The sequence below is a fragment of the Homo sapiens genome, chromosome 5 (genome assembly GCF_000001405.40).
Source record: "Homo sapiens chromosome 5, GRCh38.p14 Primary Assembly".
NCBI lineage: Eukaryota > Metazoa > Chordata > Mammalia > Primates > Hominidae > Homo > Homo sapiens.
Genome location: NC_000005.10, coordinates 173,191,775 through 173,209,866, shown reverse-complemented (window position 1 = coordinate 173,209,866; position 18,092 = coordinate 173,191,775). Strand labels below are relative to the sequence as shown.

Here is an 18,092-nt window from a genome sequence, read left to right as displayed (position 1 = left end):
AGAATTGACTTCGTAACATGGCAATTATTATTGCATCAGATTACTCCCTGTGCCCACAATTCTTAATACAGAGCAAGCAACCCAGTAGGTGGTCACAGGTGTTGAATGAACGAGTGAATGGTGAATGAATGAAACCTGCATGTAGGAAGCAGCAGCTGCAGATTCGTAGTCTCCCATACTTCTTTTCTTTAGCAGTTGTGGCATTTGTAAATCCTGTCCTGATCCTGCCTCTGCTGCTAAACTGTGGGCTCCATCATATGAAGGCCGTGTCTGCATGCTCACCCTGCGTAAAGCCTGCCTCCCAGCAGGCAGTGAGTAGGTGCTGCCTGAATGAAGGAATGGATTTATTTATTTTTCATTCAAGATAAAGAAATACACTTCTGGGGACAAATTTTTCTTTTTTATTTTTTTGAGATGAGGTCTTGCACTGTCGCTGAGGCTGGAGTGCAGTGGCACTATCTTGGGTCACTGTAGCCTCAACCTCCCCCAGGCTCAAGCAATCCTCCTGTCTCAGCCTCCCAAATAGCTGGAACTACACGCATGCACCACCATTCCTGGCTAATTTTGTTTTTTATTTTTTTGTAGAGACGAGGTCTCACTACATTGGTCTGGAACTCCTGGGCTGGTTTCAAACTCCCGGGCTCAAGGGATCCTTCCGCCTCAGCCTCCCAAAGTGCTGGGGTTACAGGTGTGAGCAACTGCTCCTGACCCAGAATTTTTTAAAAATATGCCTGTTTGCAGTTGACCTGTCACCTTTTCGAACCCTCTTCTTCTGCTCCTCCCTGTCAGTCCTGAATTTTGTTCAATATGAATTGATGAAACATTTTGAGAGCACTGGGGACCTGACCGCAAACAAGATCCCTGCCATCATGAATCTTAGGTTCTGGTAGGGGGACAGATAATCAACAAATTAACAAATATATAAAATGAGACCATTGGAAATATTAGAGTAATCAGTACTGAGAAGAGAATTCAGCTAGCGGATGTGATAGAGGGGACTCTGTGAGGGCCACTTAGACCAAATGGTCTGGCAAAGCCACTCTCTGGAGGTGACATTTGAGTTAATTCCTGAATGTTCAGATGGAGCAGCTGGAGGAAGATCTGAGAAGAGAGTTTAAGACAGAGGGAGCAGCTCGTGCAAAGGCCCTGAGGTGAGAATGGCCTTAGCATGTTCAAGAAATAAGAAGTGTCGTTGGAGTGAGCACTCGGGTGGTTGGTGGGTGGGGGAGAATGTGACATGAGTCGGAGAGGTCAGCCTTGTAGCCTGGGCAGATTTCCACTCCCCCGCATGGTGCTTACATCCATGCACACACTTCCCTGCCCCTTGACTTTGGGCTCGCCCATGGGACTTGCTTTGATGCATGAGATGTAGCAAGTACGACCCAGGCAGAGATGTGACATTTGCTTTCACAGTGGAACTTGCTCTCTCGGGCTTCTGCCATTACCATGGGAGGAGCTGCCCTGCCAACCCCACCAGTCCAAGGAGGATGAAGACACCAGGAGCAGGCCTGGACCCAGCCCAGCCAACACCAGCCAAAAAAAAATCCAGCCAACCCAAAGATGTGCAAAAGAGAAAAACTGATGGTTGTCAACCACTGGATTGAGGGGATGATTTGTTTCCCAGCATTATTCTGGATATTGTCAGCTGATACAAAGTCATGGGAGGAAGCTGAGATTTTCTTTCAAGGGGAATGAAAAGCCAACGACACAAATGCTGCCTTTGATGGCCTTTGCCCAAGTGTCTCCATAGCAGATGTGGTGGTCAGGAAAACAGTTCATACTGTATTTGTTCTTCTGTGGGGCGGAGGCACATGACATGATTCACTTTCCCACTGTGGCTGATTACCAGCTTGCCTGATTCTGATGAGACAGAACACACACACACATATGCACACACGCGTATGCATGTTTTTTGTTTTTGTTTTTGTTTGAGATGGAGTCTTGCTCTGTCACCCAGGCTGAGGTGCAATGGCACAATCTCGGCTCACTGCAAGCTCCACCTCCCGGGTTCACTCCATTCTCCTGCCTCAGCCTCCCAAGTAGCTTGGACCACAGGCACCCGACACCACGTCCGGTTAATTTTTTGCATTTTTAGTAAAGACGGGGTTTCACCATGTTAGCCAGGATGGTCTCGATCTCCTGACCTCGTGATCTGCCTGCCTCAGCCTCCCAAAGTGCTGGGATTACAGGCATGAGCCACCACACCCAGCCCAGACTGATCTTTTCAAAACCAGAAATCTGGCACCATCCCTCCCCTCCACCAGGGCCTCTAGGCTTTCTTGTTTCTTGCAGGGGACTCTGAACTCTTTCTTTGGGCAACAAGGCCCTCCGGAGCCCCATCTCCCACTCCTGGTCACCAGCTCCAGCTGCACCCGCCTTTCCTCAGCTACTTCCTGCAGATCTCCCCCTTCTGCTCACACCTGGCCTGTGTCTCCTCCTCCTCCATCAGGACTCAGCCTAAATGCTGCTCCTCAGAGAAGATCTTCCCAAGCCTGAGTCAAAATTGGATCCTTCCAAGTCCTTTTATTTATTTTTCATTTATTTATTGAGACGGGGTGTCGCTTTGTCACCAAGGCTGGAGTGCAGTGGCACAATCACAGCTCATTGCAGCCTTGACATCCCGGGCTCGGGTGATCCTCCCAACTCAGCCTCTCCAGTAACTACAGGCATATGCCACCACGCCTGGCTAATTCTTTTATTTTATTTTTTGTAGAGACAGGGTTTCACCTTGCTGTCTAGCCTGGTCTCAAACTCCTAGGCTCAAGCAATATGCCCACCTCAGCTTCCCAAAGTGCTGGGATTACAGGCGTGAGCCACCAAGGCTTCTACTCTTTTACTCACCAAGCCCGGATGCCCAAGTCTTTTAGTTGAGCCGCACATTCTAGCTTGCTACTACACACTTGCAGGTGCCTTGCTTTCCTGTCTCCTTTCTAGAAGGTAAGCACCATGAAGGCAGAGACGATGCAATCACAGTCGATGCCTACTTAGCAGTTACCAAGTGTCAGACTGCACCTGCTGCCCCTGCACCAGGACATTTAAACCTCAGGACAACCCTACAGACAAACACTATCGTTCTCTTCATTTTCCAGACAAGGTCCACAGTCTTAGTCAACAAGACACAGAAATTAAGGAGCAGAGCTAAGACTGAACTCAGGCAGGCTGCATTCAGAGCCGAGACTTTTATCCAGAGGACTCACCTGCCTCTATTTGGTCCACCACTGCCTGGCACACAGTAGGTGCTCAGTAAATACATAGCAAATGAAAGGATGTTCTCTAGAGGGGCAGTCACAGGGTTAAGAATTTGGTGTCCCTGATGGGAAGGGTAATGATGCTGGAAGAGCACAGCCGCATCATTGAAATAAAACACAAATGAAAATCAAAAGATAACAACATCCAACTATTTGGGCTGTCTATGGCCCAATTGCCCACCTGTTCCCTGTGCCGCCCTGTCCCCATTAAGTGAAAAGCTCTAGGAGTTTCATCTGGTTAGAGCTGAAACCAAGTCCTTAATAGTGTTTACAGATGAGGATAGAGCCACCTGGAGCAGGAGGGCTTTCAACCTGACAGTTTCCCCGCAAGGAAATGAACGCGCTGGTCCTGCAGGAATCATCTTCAAAGCCAGACAACCTGGCTTAAGCACAGCATTTAGAAGAAACGAATCACGCCCCCAACTCCCACCAACCAGATGGCTGGGCTGTCTTTCTCTTGTGGAATGAGGGGCCTGCTTCACACAGCTGTCCAAGCTGTGGGCTGAAATGAAGATGCTGGAATTCCTCCCCTCTGCCCTTTCATCCTGCAGCCTTCTGGGGCCTGTGGTCCTGAGTCAGATGTGGGTTGAGCCACTGGGGCTGTGGCAGGTGAGGCCCTGCCAGCAATTAGCCCCCAGGCCCAGACACTTGCTCCTTTTTATGTTCCTAATCTTTTTACCAGAAACAGGAGAGGTTTCGTCCTGAGCTGTGCAAGTGAGGAGCGTCACCCTCTGAGAGGGCACTGGATGCCACACGCTTTCGATGTCAAGGTCCCTTTTGAAAATGGCCCTACTCTGTACCAACAAGTTCCAGAGACACCACCAGGCTACTAAAGAAAATGAAGAGCATGAACAGTGCACTCCTAGACACAGGTGAAGAAAGAATTGCGACCACAAAAGAAAAAAATAGATAAGTTGAACTCTTAAAATTAAAAACTTTTGTGCATCAAAGGACACTATAAGCAATGAAAAGGCAACCATAAAATGGAAGACAATACTTGCAAATCGTGTATCTGACAAGGGAGTGATATGCAGAATATATGAAGTACTCCTACAACTCAACAACAATTTCTTTTTTTTTTTTTTTTTTTGAGACAGAGTCTCACTCTGTTGCCCAGGCTGGAGTGCAGTGGCGCAATCTCGGCTCACTGCAAGCTCTGCCTCCCGGATTCAGGCCGTTCTCCTGCCTCAGCCTCCCGAGTAGCTGGGATTACAGGCGCCCGCCACCACGCCCGGCTAATTTTTTGTATTTTTAGTAGAGATGGGGTTTCACCGTGTTAGCCAGGATGGTCTCGATTTCCTGACCTCGTGATCCACCCGCCTCAGCCTCCCAAAGTGCTGGGATTACAGACGTGAGCCACCATGCCTGGCCAACAACAATTTCTTAAAAACTGATTTTAAAATGGGCAAACGACTTGAATAGACATTTCTCCACAGAGGATATACAAATGGCCAGTGAGCATATGGAAAGATGGTCAGCATTACTAGTCATTAGGATAACGCAAATCCAAACCACAACGAGGTTCCATTCTATGCCCATTAGAATGGCTACTATCAAAAGAAAGAGAGAAGGCAAACAAGCAGGGAAAGAAAGAAAAAGAAGAAAGAGGAAAGAGAGAGACGAAGGAAGGAAGGAAGGAGGGAGGGAAGGAGGGAAGGAAGGAAGGGAGGAAGGAAGGAAGGAAGGAAGGATGGAAGGAGGGAAGGAAGGATGGAAGGAAGGGAGGGAGGAAGGGAGGGAGGGAGGGATGGAAGGAGGGAAGGAAGGAACGAAGGAAGGAAGGAATTAAAAAAAGAAGAAGAAGAAGCAAAAGTTGGGCATGGTGGTGCATGCCTACAGACCCAGCTACTGGGGAGGTTGAGGTGGGAGGATCACTTGAGGCCAGAAGTTTGAGACCAGCTTGGGCAACACAGGAAAAAAAAAAAGTTAAAGGAAAGAAAGAAAGAAAACGCTGGCTAGATGTGGAGAAATCGGAACCCTGGTCCCTTGCTGCTGGTAATGTAAAATGGTGTGGCTGTTGTAGAAAAAGTTATGACAATTCCTCAAAAAAAAATGACATACAATTGCCATAAGATCCAGCAATTCCGCTTCTAGGTATATACCCCAAAAAAGTGAAAGCAGAGTGGATATTTGTGCACCAAGATTAACAGCAGCATTATTCACAATAGCCAAAAGGTGGCAGCAAACCAAGTGTCCACTGACAGATGAATAGGTAAATAAAATGCAGAATGTGCATACAATGGAATATTATTCAGCCATAAAAAGGAAGGAGGTTTTTTGGGTTTTTTGTTTTGTTTTGTTTGTTTGCTTTTGAGAAAGGGTCTCATTCTGTTGCCCGGGCTGGAGTGCAGTGGTGTGATCACGGCTCACTGCAGCCTCAACCTCCCAGTCTCAAGCAATCCTCCCACCTCAGCCTCCTGAGTAGGTGAGACTACAGGTGCACACCTCCACACCTGGCGAATTTTCTGCTTATTTTTTATAGAGATGAGGTCTCACTATGTTGCCTAGGCTGGTCAGAATTTTTTTAAGACTTGTCAAGTGAAGCAGTGGGAGTGGAGGAGAAAAAAAGAACTCTGTAACTGGTGGTGATTGGAAGGAAAAAATTTTTAATGCTTTCTTCCTGAACAAATAGCTCAGATTGAAATGGAAGAAAATGTTAACATGTTAAAATATAGACAAACCTTGAGGACATTATGCTAAATAAAATAAGCCAGTCGCAAAAAGATAAATACCCATAGGATTCCACTCATATGAGGTACGCGGAGTAGTTCAATTCATGTAGACACGAAATTGAATGGTGACTTCCAGGGGCTGGAGGGAGGAGGGATTGGGGGGTAATAGGTGTACAGCTTCCATTTAGAAAGATGAAAAACTTCTGGATATGGCTGGTGGGTGCATGCCAACTGATGGTTGCATGACAGTATGAATGTACTTCAAGAACTGAATGCCACAGGATGGCACGCTCGAAAATAGTTAAAACGAGAAATGTTATGGTATATATATTTTATAGAAAGAAGGAAGGAAGAGAAAGAGAAAGAAAGAGAGAGAAAGAAAGAGAAAAAGAAAAGAAAAGAAAGAAAAAGAAAGAAAGAAAGAAAGGAAAGAAAGAAAGAAAGAAAGAAAAAGAAAGAAAGAAAGAAAGAAAGAAAGAAAGAAAGAAAGAAAGAAAGAAAGAAAGAAAGAGGGAGGAGGGGGAGGGGAGGGGAGGGCTCTGCCCGTTCCCATTTCCTATAGGTGGAGGGTTTTCCTCACAGGGATGGAGTCCCCTGCAGTTCTAGGTTTTGCATGGGACCGAGTGGACCCTCAGCGCCTCACTCCTCAATGGCTATAGGGTAGCCCTCGGGCTGCAGGTGAGAGGTGGGCAGCCTGGGCGCAAGGCCCGCTCATAGGTTGTGCTTGTGTGCACTTGGACAGTGCTCACAGAGGGGTGCTCCCTGCAGCAGCGGCTGGGGTGGTCTGAAGACGGGTGAGGCATACGGGACGTCTGCTCTACATGCACATCACCTGTGTCCACTTTCAACCTCCCACGCCTTTGATATTAGATCTGTTGTTGTGTTTATCTTATTTACAGAGGCTTTGCGGGCAGATGGGGTTAGAACTGCTGGAGAGGAGGGAGAAGGGCCGACAGCAGAAACCAGAGCGTCCTGTGAGATGAAGAAAAGGCCGGGAACCTGTAAGAATTCTTTAGTGTTTGGGAAGCAACTTGATTGGGTCCTAGAAAAATGGGGTCTAGGGGGAGACATAACTAGTTATGGAAAAAAAGATGCTTTCCCCCAGATTCTGAGATTATGAACCTGGACCCAAATGCCAGGCTGCCCTCCAGGCATCCCGGGAACAGCTCTCCCCACTGCTCAACACAGCAAATGGGAGATGTACTTCCCCTGGGGACGAAGTGTCCGCCCCGAGCCAGAGCGGCTTCCTCCCCCAGCCCAGCTTCCCAAAGCGGTTTGCAGTGAGAATCTCCCCAACCTTCGTGTCACCCTGTCCCCAGCAGCCACACACTGACCTGGCCAGTCCCTTGACCTTTTAGGTTTTTATCCTTAAATGAGGATGAAAAGCTTTTTCAGGCAGACTTGTGAGCCACAGGGGACGTGCTGTGTGCAAACATACTGAGCCCATGCCCAGCACATGCAAAGCAGCCAGGGGGAATTAAAAACGTGCTGGTGGAGTTGGAAATCAGAGCTCAAGCCACGCCTATTGTCCCACCGCCACCCTCTCTACCATGTCTACTCACTGCTTATGCTGTTATTTATTTTATATTTTTATTATAATGATGATTTTTTGCCCATGACAAAGCCCTCAGGAAACCCTGAGGACATGTCCCTTTATTTTATAGTTTTCTTTAAGTTCATGTTAATGGACTCACTGCTTTTACTCACCTAATTCTAAACAGTAATATCAGTGAAATCACAGCTTCGATATGCCAGCTTTATTTCCCAAAGGCATTTGAAAAAAAAGTACAAAGCAATTGAAAGTCAAATGTTTTCTGTGAGTCACCTAAAATTCTCTCTTGCAGCCCAGGAGCTTGTGAATCATGCCCTGGGCGTTGCTGCCTTAGTGTAGCTTCCAGCTGTGTGGCCAGGGCCGTAGGTGCCATAAGCCAGGCACATTGCCCTTCAATGACTTTGACTTCTGACCTTGACATAGACAGGCAGGGCAGCTTCCTGGGCAGCGGGTGGGGCCGGCTGTCCCCATATTTGTGCTGTTACAGCCAGCTTTCCCCTCAAGGGATTAAGGCTCAAGAGACACAACTCTCTGCTGGGGCCAGCATCCCTCAACCTTCGAAGCCCGGACCACAGGGCGAGGCTCGGCGCCTTGCGGAGACACTGCCCAGGGTGAACCAGCAAAAGAGGCCAGTCTAGTCATCTCAGCTGCAGCACTGGGTTCTAACCAGTGTGGTCACCATCTCCTGGTTGGGCTCCACTGCCTCCTGCCAGCCCAGACACTGGCTGTCTCTCGCCCTCGCCCTGCAACCCATTCTCCACACTTCGATTTTTTTTTTTTTTTAATTTTTTGGTCTTGCCGAATTAAGCAGAATCTCCACAGTGTTTTGGAAACACAAATCTGTCCCCTTGATGTCCTCATTCAACATTCTATCATGCCTTCCAGTCACTAGACCCAAGGCCATAAACTAGTTTTGTTTGGCCCAGGCAGGGCTAACTTTAAAAAACGAGCACAATGTATGTGATCTTTATGAATATTTATGTCACAGCTGTAAAGATTATACCAGGAGCTCAGAAAATGGCCTCCTGTTCCTCCTCGGCATAGCCAGCAGGGCTCGGGGAGTGGGGCTCTGTGCTGGTCCCAATGGACTTCTCTTTTGTCCTGCATCATCTTGGTTCCAGGTGGCCTGGAGTGCACAGGACTCACACTGCTGTATGGAGCTTCAGACTGTCCGTGGGACCGAGCCTTTCCCTGAGGCCTCTGAGTGGCAGCTCTCTCAACAGCCTCTGAGTTCCTCCCCTATATAAACTGCGAAATTTACAAATCCAGGTCATGAACCTCCTGAGAAATTGGATCCCTGTTCCCATGTGGCAGCAACTAGAGAAGCTCCGTGGCAGCTTGACCTGAGGTATCTTCATCCACTACACCACAGTCCCCACCACTCCCTATTGCTCCCCAATAAAATGATGGTGCCAATTAAAAAAAAATTTTTTTAGAGACGGGGTCTTGCTCTGTCACCCAGGCTAGAGCACATTGGCATGATCATAGCTCATTCTAGCCTTGAATGCCTGGTCTCAAACGATCCTCTCTCCTCAGTAGCTGGGACTACAGGCGCATACCACTGACCCCAGCTAGTTGTTTTTCTTATAGCAGTTTAGAACAGAGAAAGATTTCTATATACATGTCTTGGAGAATTAGAGATAGATGAAGAGGGTCCTTTGTTTCAAGGAGAACAGCAAAGAGTATATTTCTTGGTGAAAAGAAACATCCAGCCTGCCACATGGCCTGCCTGGTCCCTGTAGGCCTTAGATTTGCAGCCCCTGATCTGAGGAAAAAATCTAAATTCCTCTGCATGGTATAATGAAGTTGTATGATGCAATGGTTAGGATAAAGTTAGGCTGCTACAACAAAAAGACCCAAACTACAATTACCTAAACAAATGAGAAGGTTCTATCTTTTTTGTGTAAAATTTGCTCTGATTTGTGGCTTGATGGTATTGGGAATCCAGGCTCTACTTATCTTCTGCAATTCATTCTTAACATGTGGCAGCCATGTCTCTAACAGAATCATTGGGTAAAAAGTAATTTTTAAAATGCAGGAGCCACCTCCTGGTCTTAGATGGCTCCTTCACCCCAAGAAGGGAAGGGGAGCACTCTTGTTCCTTTTTTTTTTTTTTTTTTTTTTTTTGAGACAGAGTTTCACTCATGTTGCCTAGGCTGGAGTGTAATGGGGCAACCTTGGCTCTATGCAACCTCCGCCTCCCGGGTTCAAGCGATTCTTCTGCCTCAGCCTCCCAAGTAGCTGGGATTACAGGAATGCGCCCCCACACCTGGCTAATTTTTATTTTTATCTTTTGAATTTTTAGTAGAGACAGGGTTTCTTCATGTTGGTCAGGCTGGTCTCGAACTCCTAACCTCAGGTGATCTGCCCTCCTCGGCCTCCCAAAGTGCTGGGATTACAGGCGTGGGCACCACGCCTGGCTCGTGTTCCTTTAAGGGCACAATCCAGAACTTTCACTCATCTCATTATCTGAAATAGTCACCTTGCCATACCTACCTAGCTGCAAGGGAGGCTGACAAATGCAGGGTTAAGCTGATATTCATGTTAATGCCCATCAGGAAATTCAGTTACTCTATATAGAGGAGAAAAGGAACAATCCCTGCCACATGACAAGCCCTTCCCTCCAGCCTCATCTCCCACCTGCTGCCTCCAGAAATTTACTCTCTGGCAGCACTTAACCACTTGTAGATTCCCAGCAGCCATGATCTATCTCACCCTGCACCTTAGCATGTGCTGCTCCCTCTGCCGGGAATACCCTTCCCAGTCTGACTCCCTGTAAGTCCTCCTCATCCTTCAAGTCTCAGGTCAAGGGAGGCCTCTTCCATCCTGCCTCTGCCACCTGCCCCAGCTGAGCTCAGCATTCCCTTTACAGGACTTATTTTATACTTGATGGGAGCTCAGACCCTAGGGCCAGACTGCTGAGGCTACGTTCTGCTCTTACAGGACCTTGTGACCTAGGGCCAGTTACTAACTTATCTGGACCTCAATGCTCTCATTCATAAAATGAGAATAGTAGGACCTACATCACAGGGTTACTAAGCCAAATAAGAAAAAGAGCTGGATGCAATGGCTTATGCCTGTAATCCCAGCATTTTGGGAGGCCAAGGTGGACAGATCACCTGAGGTCAGGAGTTCGAGACCAGCTTGGCCAACACAGTGAAACCCTGTCTCTACTAAAAATACAAAAATTAGCCGGGCGTCATGGTGCGCACCTGTAATCCCAGCTACCTAGGAAGCTGAGGCGAGAAAATTACTTGAACCCAGGAGGTGGAGGTTGCAGTGAGCCAAAATCATGCCACTGCACTCCAACCTGGGCAACAGAGTGAGACTCTGTTGAAAGAAAGAAGGAAGGAAGGAAGGAAGGAAGGAAGGAAGGAAGGAAGGAAGGAAGGAAGGAAGGAAGGAAGGAAAGAGAGGGAGAGAGGGAGAGAAGGAGAGAGAGGGAGGAAGGAAGGAAGGAGAGAAGAAAGAAAGAAAGAAAGCAAGAAGGAAGGAAGGAAGGAAAGAAAGAAAGAGAGAGAGGGAGAGAGAGAGAGGAAGAGGGAGAGAGGGAGAAAGGGAGGGAGGAAGGAAGGAAGGAGAGAAGAAAGAAAGAAAGAAAGAAAGAGAAAGAAGGAAGGAAAGAAGAAAGAAAGAAAGGAGGGAGGGAGGGAGAGAGGAAGGAAGGAGAGAAGAAAAAGAAAGAAAGAAAGAAAGAAAAGAGAGAGGGAGGGAGGGAGGGAGGAGGGGAGGAGGGGAGGAACGGAAAGAAAAGAAAGGAAGAAAGAAAGAAAGTAAATCTCTTAGCATAGTGCCTGTCACATAGTAGGTACTTGATAGACATTAGCCATTATCATCATTATTATTATCTGTTGAGTATTTATTCTGTGGCCAGCCCTGTGCCAAGGACAAGGAACCCAACAATCAGTAAGGGTCCCATTGGAGCTCACACTATGGAGGGCATGTGTGGTAGATTCGTTTATCATTGCAATATATTCATTGCGTCCCCCAGCCCACCCCCTTGGCACTGGGCTCGGCCCTGTGACTTGCCTTGGCCATGGGATGTTGGCAATAAGATGGCAGCAGAGGCTGGGGCAGCATTTGCACCGTTGGGCCTGTGCTCCTGCGTTTCTGCCACATCTGGAGAAGAGCAAGCCCAGGCTGGGCCACTGGTTCTAGGAGGCAGGGAGAGACCTAGGGAGTGAAGCCAGCTGGCTGAGATCAGTCCTTCCCCAGCCAATATGCAACTGGATGACAAAAGCCACAGCGCGAATGTAATTCTTATTGCCATGTGCCTCTGTGGTTCTTATTTTTATTTTAATGGTTTTTTTTTTTTTGAGACTGAGTCTTGTTCTATTGTCCAGACTGGAGTGCAGTGGCATGATCTTGGCTCACTGCAACCTCCACCTCCCAGGTTCAAGCGATTCTCCTGCCTCAGCCTCCTGAGTAGCTGGGATTACAGGTGCACACCACCACGCCTGTCTAATTTTTGTACTTTTAGTAGAGATGGGGTTTCACCATGTTGGCCAGGCTGGTCTTGAACTCCTGACCTCAAATGATCCGCCCACCTCGGCCTCCCAAAGTGCTGGGACTGCAGGCGTGAGCCACTGTGCCTGGCCACCTCTGCGGTTCTTTAGTTGTTGTTAGGCAGCATTACTGTGGCCATAGCTAACGACACAGAGAGAAAGAATCATCAACAGGCAAGCGTAGCCTGATGTGGCAAATGTTGTCATGGCAGTAACAACAACTAGAGGAGCTGGGATATGGGCCAGGCAGTCTGCCTTTAGAACTCAAGCTTTTAGACTCTGTGGCCTCCCTCTCCTCCTCCTCTCCTTCCTCCCATTCCTCTTCCCTGCACCTAGTGCTCGATAAACACTTAGTGAATGATGTGGCCCCAGCAATGATTTTCCCACTGGAGCTCAAGGGCCTCCTCTAATCGTGTCTCACCGAGGGGCTTGTCAGCCTTCACTGGTTATCCATAGCTTGTCCTTATTCCTCAATCTATACAAAAAGTCCTGAGGGCTGTGACCACCCTGGTGTCTCTCCACCGGGCCTTGGCCACATGAAGCCTGTTCCCACCCCTAAATGCCACCCAGCCCAGCCCAGCAGTCCCTGACCTCTTATCTCCAGCACAGCCCTCGGGTGAGGGGATTGGCCACATCCTACAGCCACAAAGCAAACAGGGCCCGTGGCTGACCAGTCCTGGAGCAAGAAGCCCTGGTAGGAGAGACGGGGACCTGACATGTGAGTGAGCCAAGGGAAGGTGCAGAAAGGTCCTCTTCAGGAAGAGACCGTGGGGTAGTGCAGAAAACACTCGCTTTGCACCTTCTGACCCAGGTTCTCATCCCAGCTCTGCCATTATGAAGGCAAATTGTTCCACCACTCAGAGCTTTGATATCCTTGACTGTAAAAGGGGTTATCAAAGACCACCAAGCCCTGTGGTTGGAAGCATAAATTGGATAGAGTCTCAGCAAATGTCAGCTCCCTTCCCCACTTCCCTGTGGGTCTCAGCCTCAAGCAGGAATGTGGACCTAAGGCCTCCAAAGCTGAGATTCCTCCCAGACAGGTGTGGAACTGGAGGTCAGGAATAGCGTGATCAGAGCACAGGCTTTGGACTCAGACAGCCCTGGGTTCTGCTCACCAGAGGCATGACCTTGGCCCAGACACACTGCTGAGCACCTGGCTCTGCTTGCATGTCACTGGGATAAGAGGTCCTCCTGAGTGGAGCTGCTGTGAGCGGTGGCCGCTGGGACACAGAAGCACCCACTGAATGGGAGTTGGTAAAGGATTTGGAAGTCATTGAATGGGTTTGCATAACGTGGTTTCAACAGAAAGATATGACATGTCTGCTGTGTGCGCCCCTCCTTGCAAGGGGGCTTGCCAAGGGCATACGACACTCTGCTATCACCGTCCCTGGGTGCCGGGAAGGAAAGGTGCAGTGGCGAGGTGGCCCTGGACAGGGGCGGGTCAACAAACCTTGCTCTGTTGGATTCACCCACCACACAGCTGGAAAGGAGGGGCTGGGCCAGCGCTGCCTGCTTTCATGTTGTTCTATATTTACCACCCGTCGGTCTGTCTGTCGGGCGGGTGTGCGTTGATCCCTGCCCAGCGCCTCCCTGGCTCCGAGGGGCGCTGTTATCACTGGACATGAACGCTTTATCTCCCTGCAAGGCCCAGGCGGCATTTTGCTTTCAGGTTGAAACCTCCACCAGTCAAATTTCAAAAGCTTTCTACGTGACAGCCGGTGGCTGCAGCCACCTTCCTGGTCTCATTGACTTTGGTCTCTGCCTCTCTACAGTGGCTCAAAGGGAGCTTTCTGAAACCTTTCTCCCTCTGACAACTCACTCTTCATTCACTCATGTACTCAGTGTTTATTGGGACATTGTGCTGGGTGCTGGGGATATAGGACCTAATGAGATACATAAGGTTCCCACCCTTCCTAGAGATGACAGTGAAAAAAATAGTGACCTGTGGTCGTGAGTGCCACCATGTGAAAAGAGATGCAAAGGAACAATTAAAGGGGGGTGGCACTTTTAAATGAGGCAATAAACTTACGGTATAGCTGGCACACTGGGGACTCCCACAAGCCCCCCATGTGGGGCAGGGTAGGAGCTCCACTGGTAACCTGGGGAACTCCCCCAGGCTCAGTTCTCACCCTTGTCCCATTGACTGGGAAGTCTTTTGATCAGCAACCTGGGGGCAGATGCTTGTCTTAGGGGGACTTGTGTTATCCAAGCTCAGTTATGAGTTGAATTGTGTTCCCCGTAAAGATATGTTAAGGTCCTAACCCCTAGATGAGGTCATTAGGGTGGGTCCTAAACAATATGACTGGTCTCCTTTTAAAAAGTGTAAATTGGGCCAGGAGCAGTGGCTCACGCCTGTAATCCCAGCACTTTGGGAAGCGAGGCAGGTGGATCACCTGAGGTCAGGAGTTCGAGACCAGCCTGGCCAACATGGTAAAACCCCGTCTCTACTAAAAATACAAAATTTAGCTGGGCGTGGTGGCAGGTGCCTGTAATTTCAGCTACTTGGGAGGCTGAGGCACGAGAATCGCTTGAACCCAGGAGGCAGAGGTTGCAGTGAGCGAGATCGTACCACTGCACTCCAGCCTGGGTGACAGAGCGAGACTTGGTCTCAAAAAAATAAAAATAAAAAAGTGTACGTTTGGACACAATGACAGACTCACACAGAGGCAAGACGACGTGAAGACAGAGAGGGAGAAGACAGCCACGTGACGACGGGGGCAGAGATTAGAGTGATGCAGCTTCAAGCCAAGGAACACCAAAGATTGCTACAGCACCAGGAGCCGGGAAAGGCCGGGAGGGAATTCTCCCCGGAACCTTCGGAGGAAGCGTGGCCTCTTCCAACACCTTCATTTCAGACTTCCAGGCTCCAGAAACAATAACCTCCCTTGTTTTAAGCCACTTAGTTTTCGGTACTTTGTTACGTGTAGCTCTAGGAAACTAACACAAAAGCTCACAGGCTGATGTGGAAAACCTGATGTGACTTATTGCTTGGTTGTGGAAAACGCATCACCCCATGAACCAGATCTCTCAGCATCAGATCAGTAAATTCTCTCCCTGAACAGGAGCCCCATGGGAAGCCAATTCATAGCCACTCATTCATGCACCATGGACTCACTGAGCAACTACCACTCCCAAGGTATGTGCTAGGTGCTGGGAACACATCTGGAGGCTAGGAGGCCAGAAGGTAGGCTGGTGCAGGCCTGGGACAGAGGTAGCAGGACCAGGGCACTGTGTGCTGTGTGCTCCTGGAGAGGTGTTTGTGGAGGAAACGGGGCCAGGGGCAGAGATGGAGAGGACCCACTCCTTCCTGGTGGACAGAGCTGGGGGACTCAGTGGAGCCTCTGGGCAGCCCTTTCTAATCCTCCCAGGTGGACTGATCCACAGCTTGCTTCTCTAGATGGGCCCAACACGATGGCTGAGGTTTCTGCTTCACAAACTCCAGGCCTATTGCAATAGCTGGGCCTCACCGAGATTGTCCCAGGTGAAGTTGGTTGAAGTTGGAGGTGTCCCCAGAACTCTTCATTCACATTTAGCAAGGTGTTACTGCTGTAATCCAGGTGTCACAAAGGGCTCACCCTAGGGCCATCAGGTGGGTCTCCTGTGTGCATGGTGCAGTGCTTTTGCCCCAGATCCCTCCACTCCCTCACATTTTTACTGCCTGCCTTACCCAGATGAAAGCATCAGTGATCTCTGGCTTCCTCGAGTAATTGATGATTTTCCATTTATCTATTGCTGTGTGACCAACCACCCCAAATATAGTGGCATGCATCAACCACCATTTTCATCTTTTGTAGGTCAAATAGTCAGATGAAGCACAATGTGGATGGCTTGGGTTTCTATTCCATGAGTCTGCAGCCTCATCTGGGAAGACTGGAACGACTGGGGGCTGGAAGTGTCTGGAGCCTGGGCCGAAATGACTCAGAGACTGGACTCAGTTGGAACTGTCAACAGGAACAACTTCATGCGGCCTCTCCACCTGGCTTGGGCTTCCTCACAGCATGGTGGCCTCAAGGATAGTTGGACTTCTTACATGACAGCACAATTCTCAAAGGCAAGAGTTACAGCAAACCAGGCTGAAGCTGGATAGCCTTTTATGAGCTAATCTTGGAAGTCATATAGCATCACCTCCATTGCACCCTGTTGGTCAGAGCAGCCCAAGCCCTTCTAGATTCAGGGGGAAGGACTTAGAGTCATGGACACAGACGTAGACCTGCACTCCATAGGAGGAATGTCAAAGGATTTGCAGCCACGTTTTAAAACCACCACAGTGAGTTACATCCACTAATAGGAAACCAGATTTCCCTTAGATCTAGTTTTGGGAATACACTTCACTTGACTGTCAACACTCGGCGCTTCCATCAAGTACAGGATGAGGTCCAAATCCCTTGGCATGAAAACCAAAGTCCTTCCTAGCCTGGTTCCAGCCTGCATTCCAGCATCCATCCTTGGTTGTCTGCATTCCCGCAAGTTGGCTAAATGCGCTCACACAAGCATGCCACTGTGGTTCTGAGGACTGTGGCCCTCAGGGGGACACACTTTTGTTTCCTTTCTTTTCTTTTTTTGTTCTTTTTTTTTTGAGACAGGGTCTCGCCCTGTCGTCCAAGCTAGAGTGCAGTGGCACAACCAGGGCTCACTGCAGCCTCGACTTCCTGGGCTCAAGTGAGCCTCCCATCTCAGCCTCCCAAGTAGCTGGGACTATAGGCACATGCCACCATATCCAGCTAAGTTTTAAATATTTTGTGGAGATGGGGTCTTACTATGTTGCCCAGGCTGGTTTGAAACTCCTGGACTCAAGTGATCCTACCACTTCGGCCTCCCAAAGTGCTGAGATTACAGGTGTTAGCCACTGCACTGGACCCAGACAGCCTCTTCTTACTCACCAAAGTTGCCACTGAGGCTGGTGGCATCCCATATTCTTCTAGAAGCTCAGAGCTCCTGAAGGGGACACCACGAACCCATCTGGAGCTCTGGATTTCCAGCTGAAGGATGCTTTCCCCTTGTCCTCCGCTAATGACTCAGCCATCTGTCTTCCTTTCCTGAACTCTGCTCCACTGGAAGCTGCACAGAGGCCCCATCTGCGGCTTCAAAGCCAGTGGATTGAGTGGCCCTAAGCATAGGAATCGGAGCTGCCTGTGATTCTCTGAAGTTCCCACCCAAATTCATAACTACTCACAGAGCACAGACAGCTGAGCATTGTCTGCCCCCTTGAAAGGGCCGCCTTTGAAGCCGGCAGTGGGGCACTGAACAGGCGTTCTCTGGAAGGGCTGGAGAGACAGCCAGAGGGCCATGCTACTGCTGGCAGGGACCTGTGATCCCCACCAAAACAGATGAGCAGAGGGATGGGAGGTCCAGGAACAAAGCCCCTTCCCACTTCAGTCAGTTCTTCCCTTCCCCCTCCCTTCATTCATGCACTCATTCATTCAACTAGTATTCACAGAGAGCCCAACTTAGACAGGCTCTGCTGGGCCTGGCTCTGAAGGTTACCAGATGACCAGGACACATCCCCCTCTACCTCATCCTCATCTGAGGATCATCTGGGCCCTGCTACTCCCTAGTCTGAGTTCATCTGGGCCCTGCTACTCTCTAGCTGAATCTCCCTGGTATAGTGGGCCGAGTGGTGGCCGCCTAAAAGATAGGTCCTCATCAAATCCCTGGAACTTGTGAATATGCCCTTATTTGACAAAAAAAAAGGGGGGGCGGGTGGGGGGTCTTTGTAGATACAATTAAGTTAAGGATCCTGAGATGAGATCATCATGGATTAACCAGGAGAGCCCTGACTCCAATGACAAGCATCCCTTACAAGGGACACAGAGGGAGACTTGAGACGTACGAAGAAGACCATGTGAAGGCGAAGGCACAGAGTGGGTGATGTTGCCATGAGCCAAGGGACTCCTGGAGCCACCAGAAGCTGGAAGAGGCTTGAAGGACTCTTCCCTAGAGCCTTTGGAGGGAGCCCGGCCCTGCCCACACCTTGATGTCCTCCAGGTCTGTAGGAGAACACACTTGTGTCGTTTTAAGCCACCCAGTTTGTGGACAGTTGTTTCGGCAGCCACAGGAAATAAATACACTGGACCAGCCTCCTCACCTTTCCAAGGCGTGGCATGGGGGCCGCAGC

General features: G+C 49.3%; 1 annotated feature.

Moving 5' to 3' along the window:
- Positions 2,800-2,979: a silencer, noted in NCBI's record as "fragment chr5:172633891-172634070 (GRCh37/hg19 assembly coordinates)". NCBI's record gives its function as "represses an EF-1alpha promoter that drives an FKBP-Casp9 reporter gene in an ReSE screen in HepG2 liver carcinoma cells and phorbol 12-myristate 13-acetate-treated (for megakaryocytic differentiation) K562 erythroleukemia cells {active_cell/tissue: HepG2 | K562(+PMA)}" and the evidence as "EXISTENCE:reporter gene assay evidence [ECO:0000049][PMID:32094911]".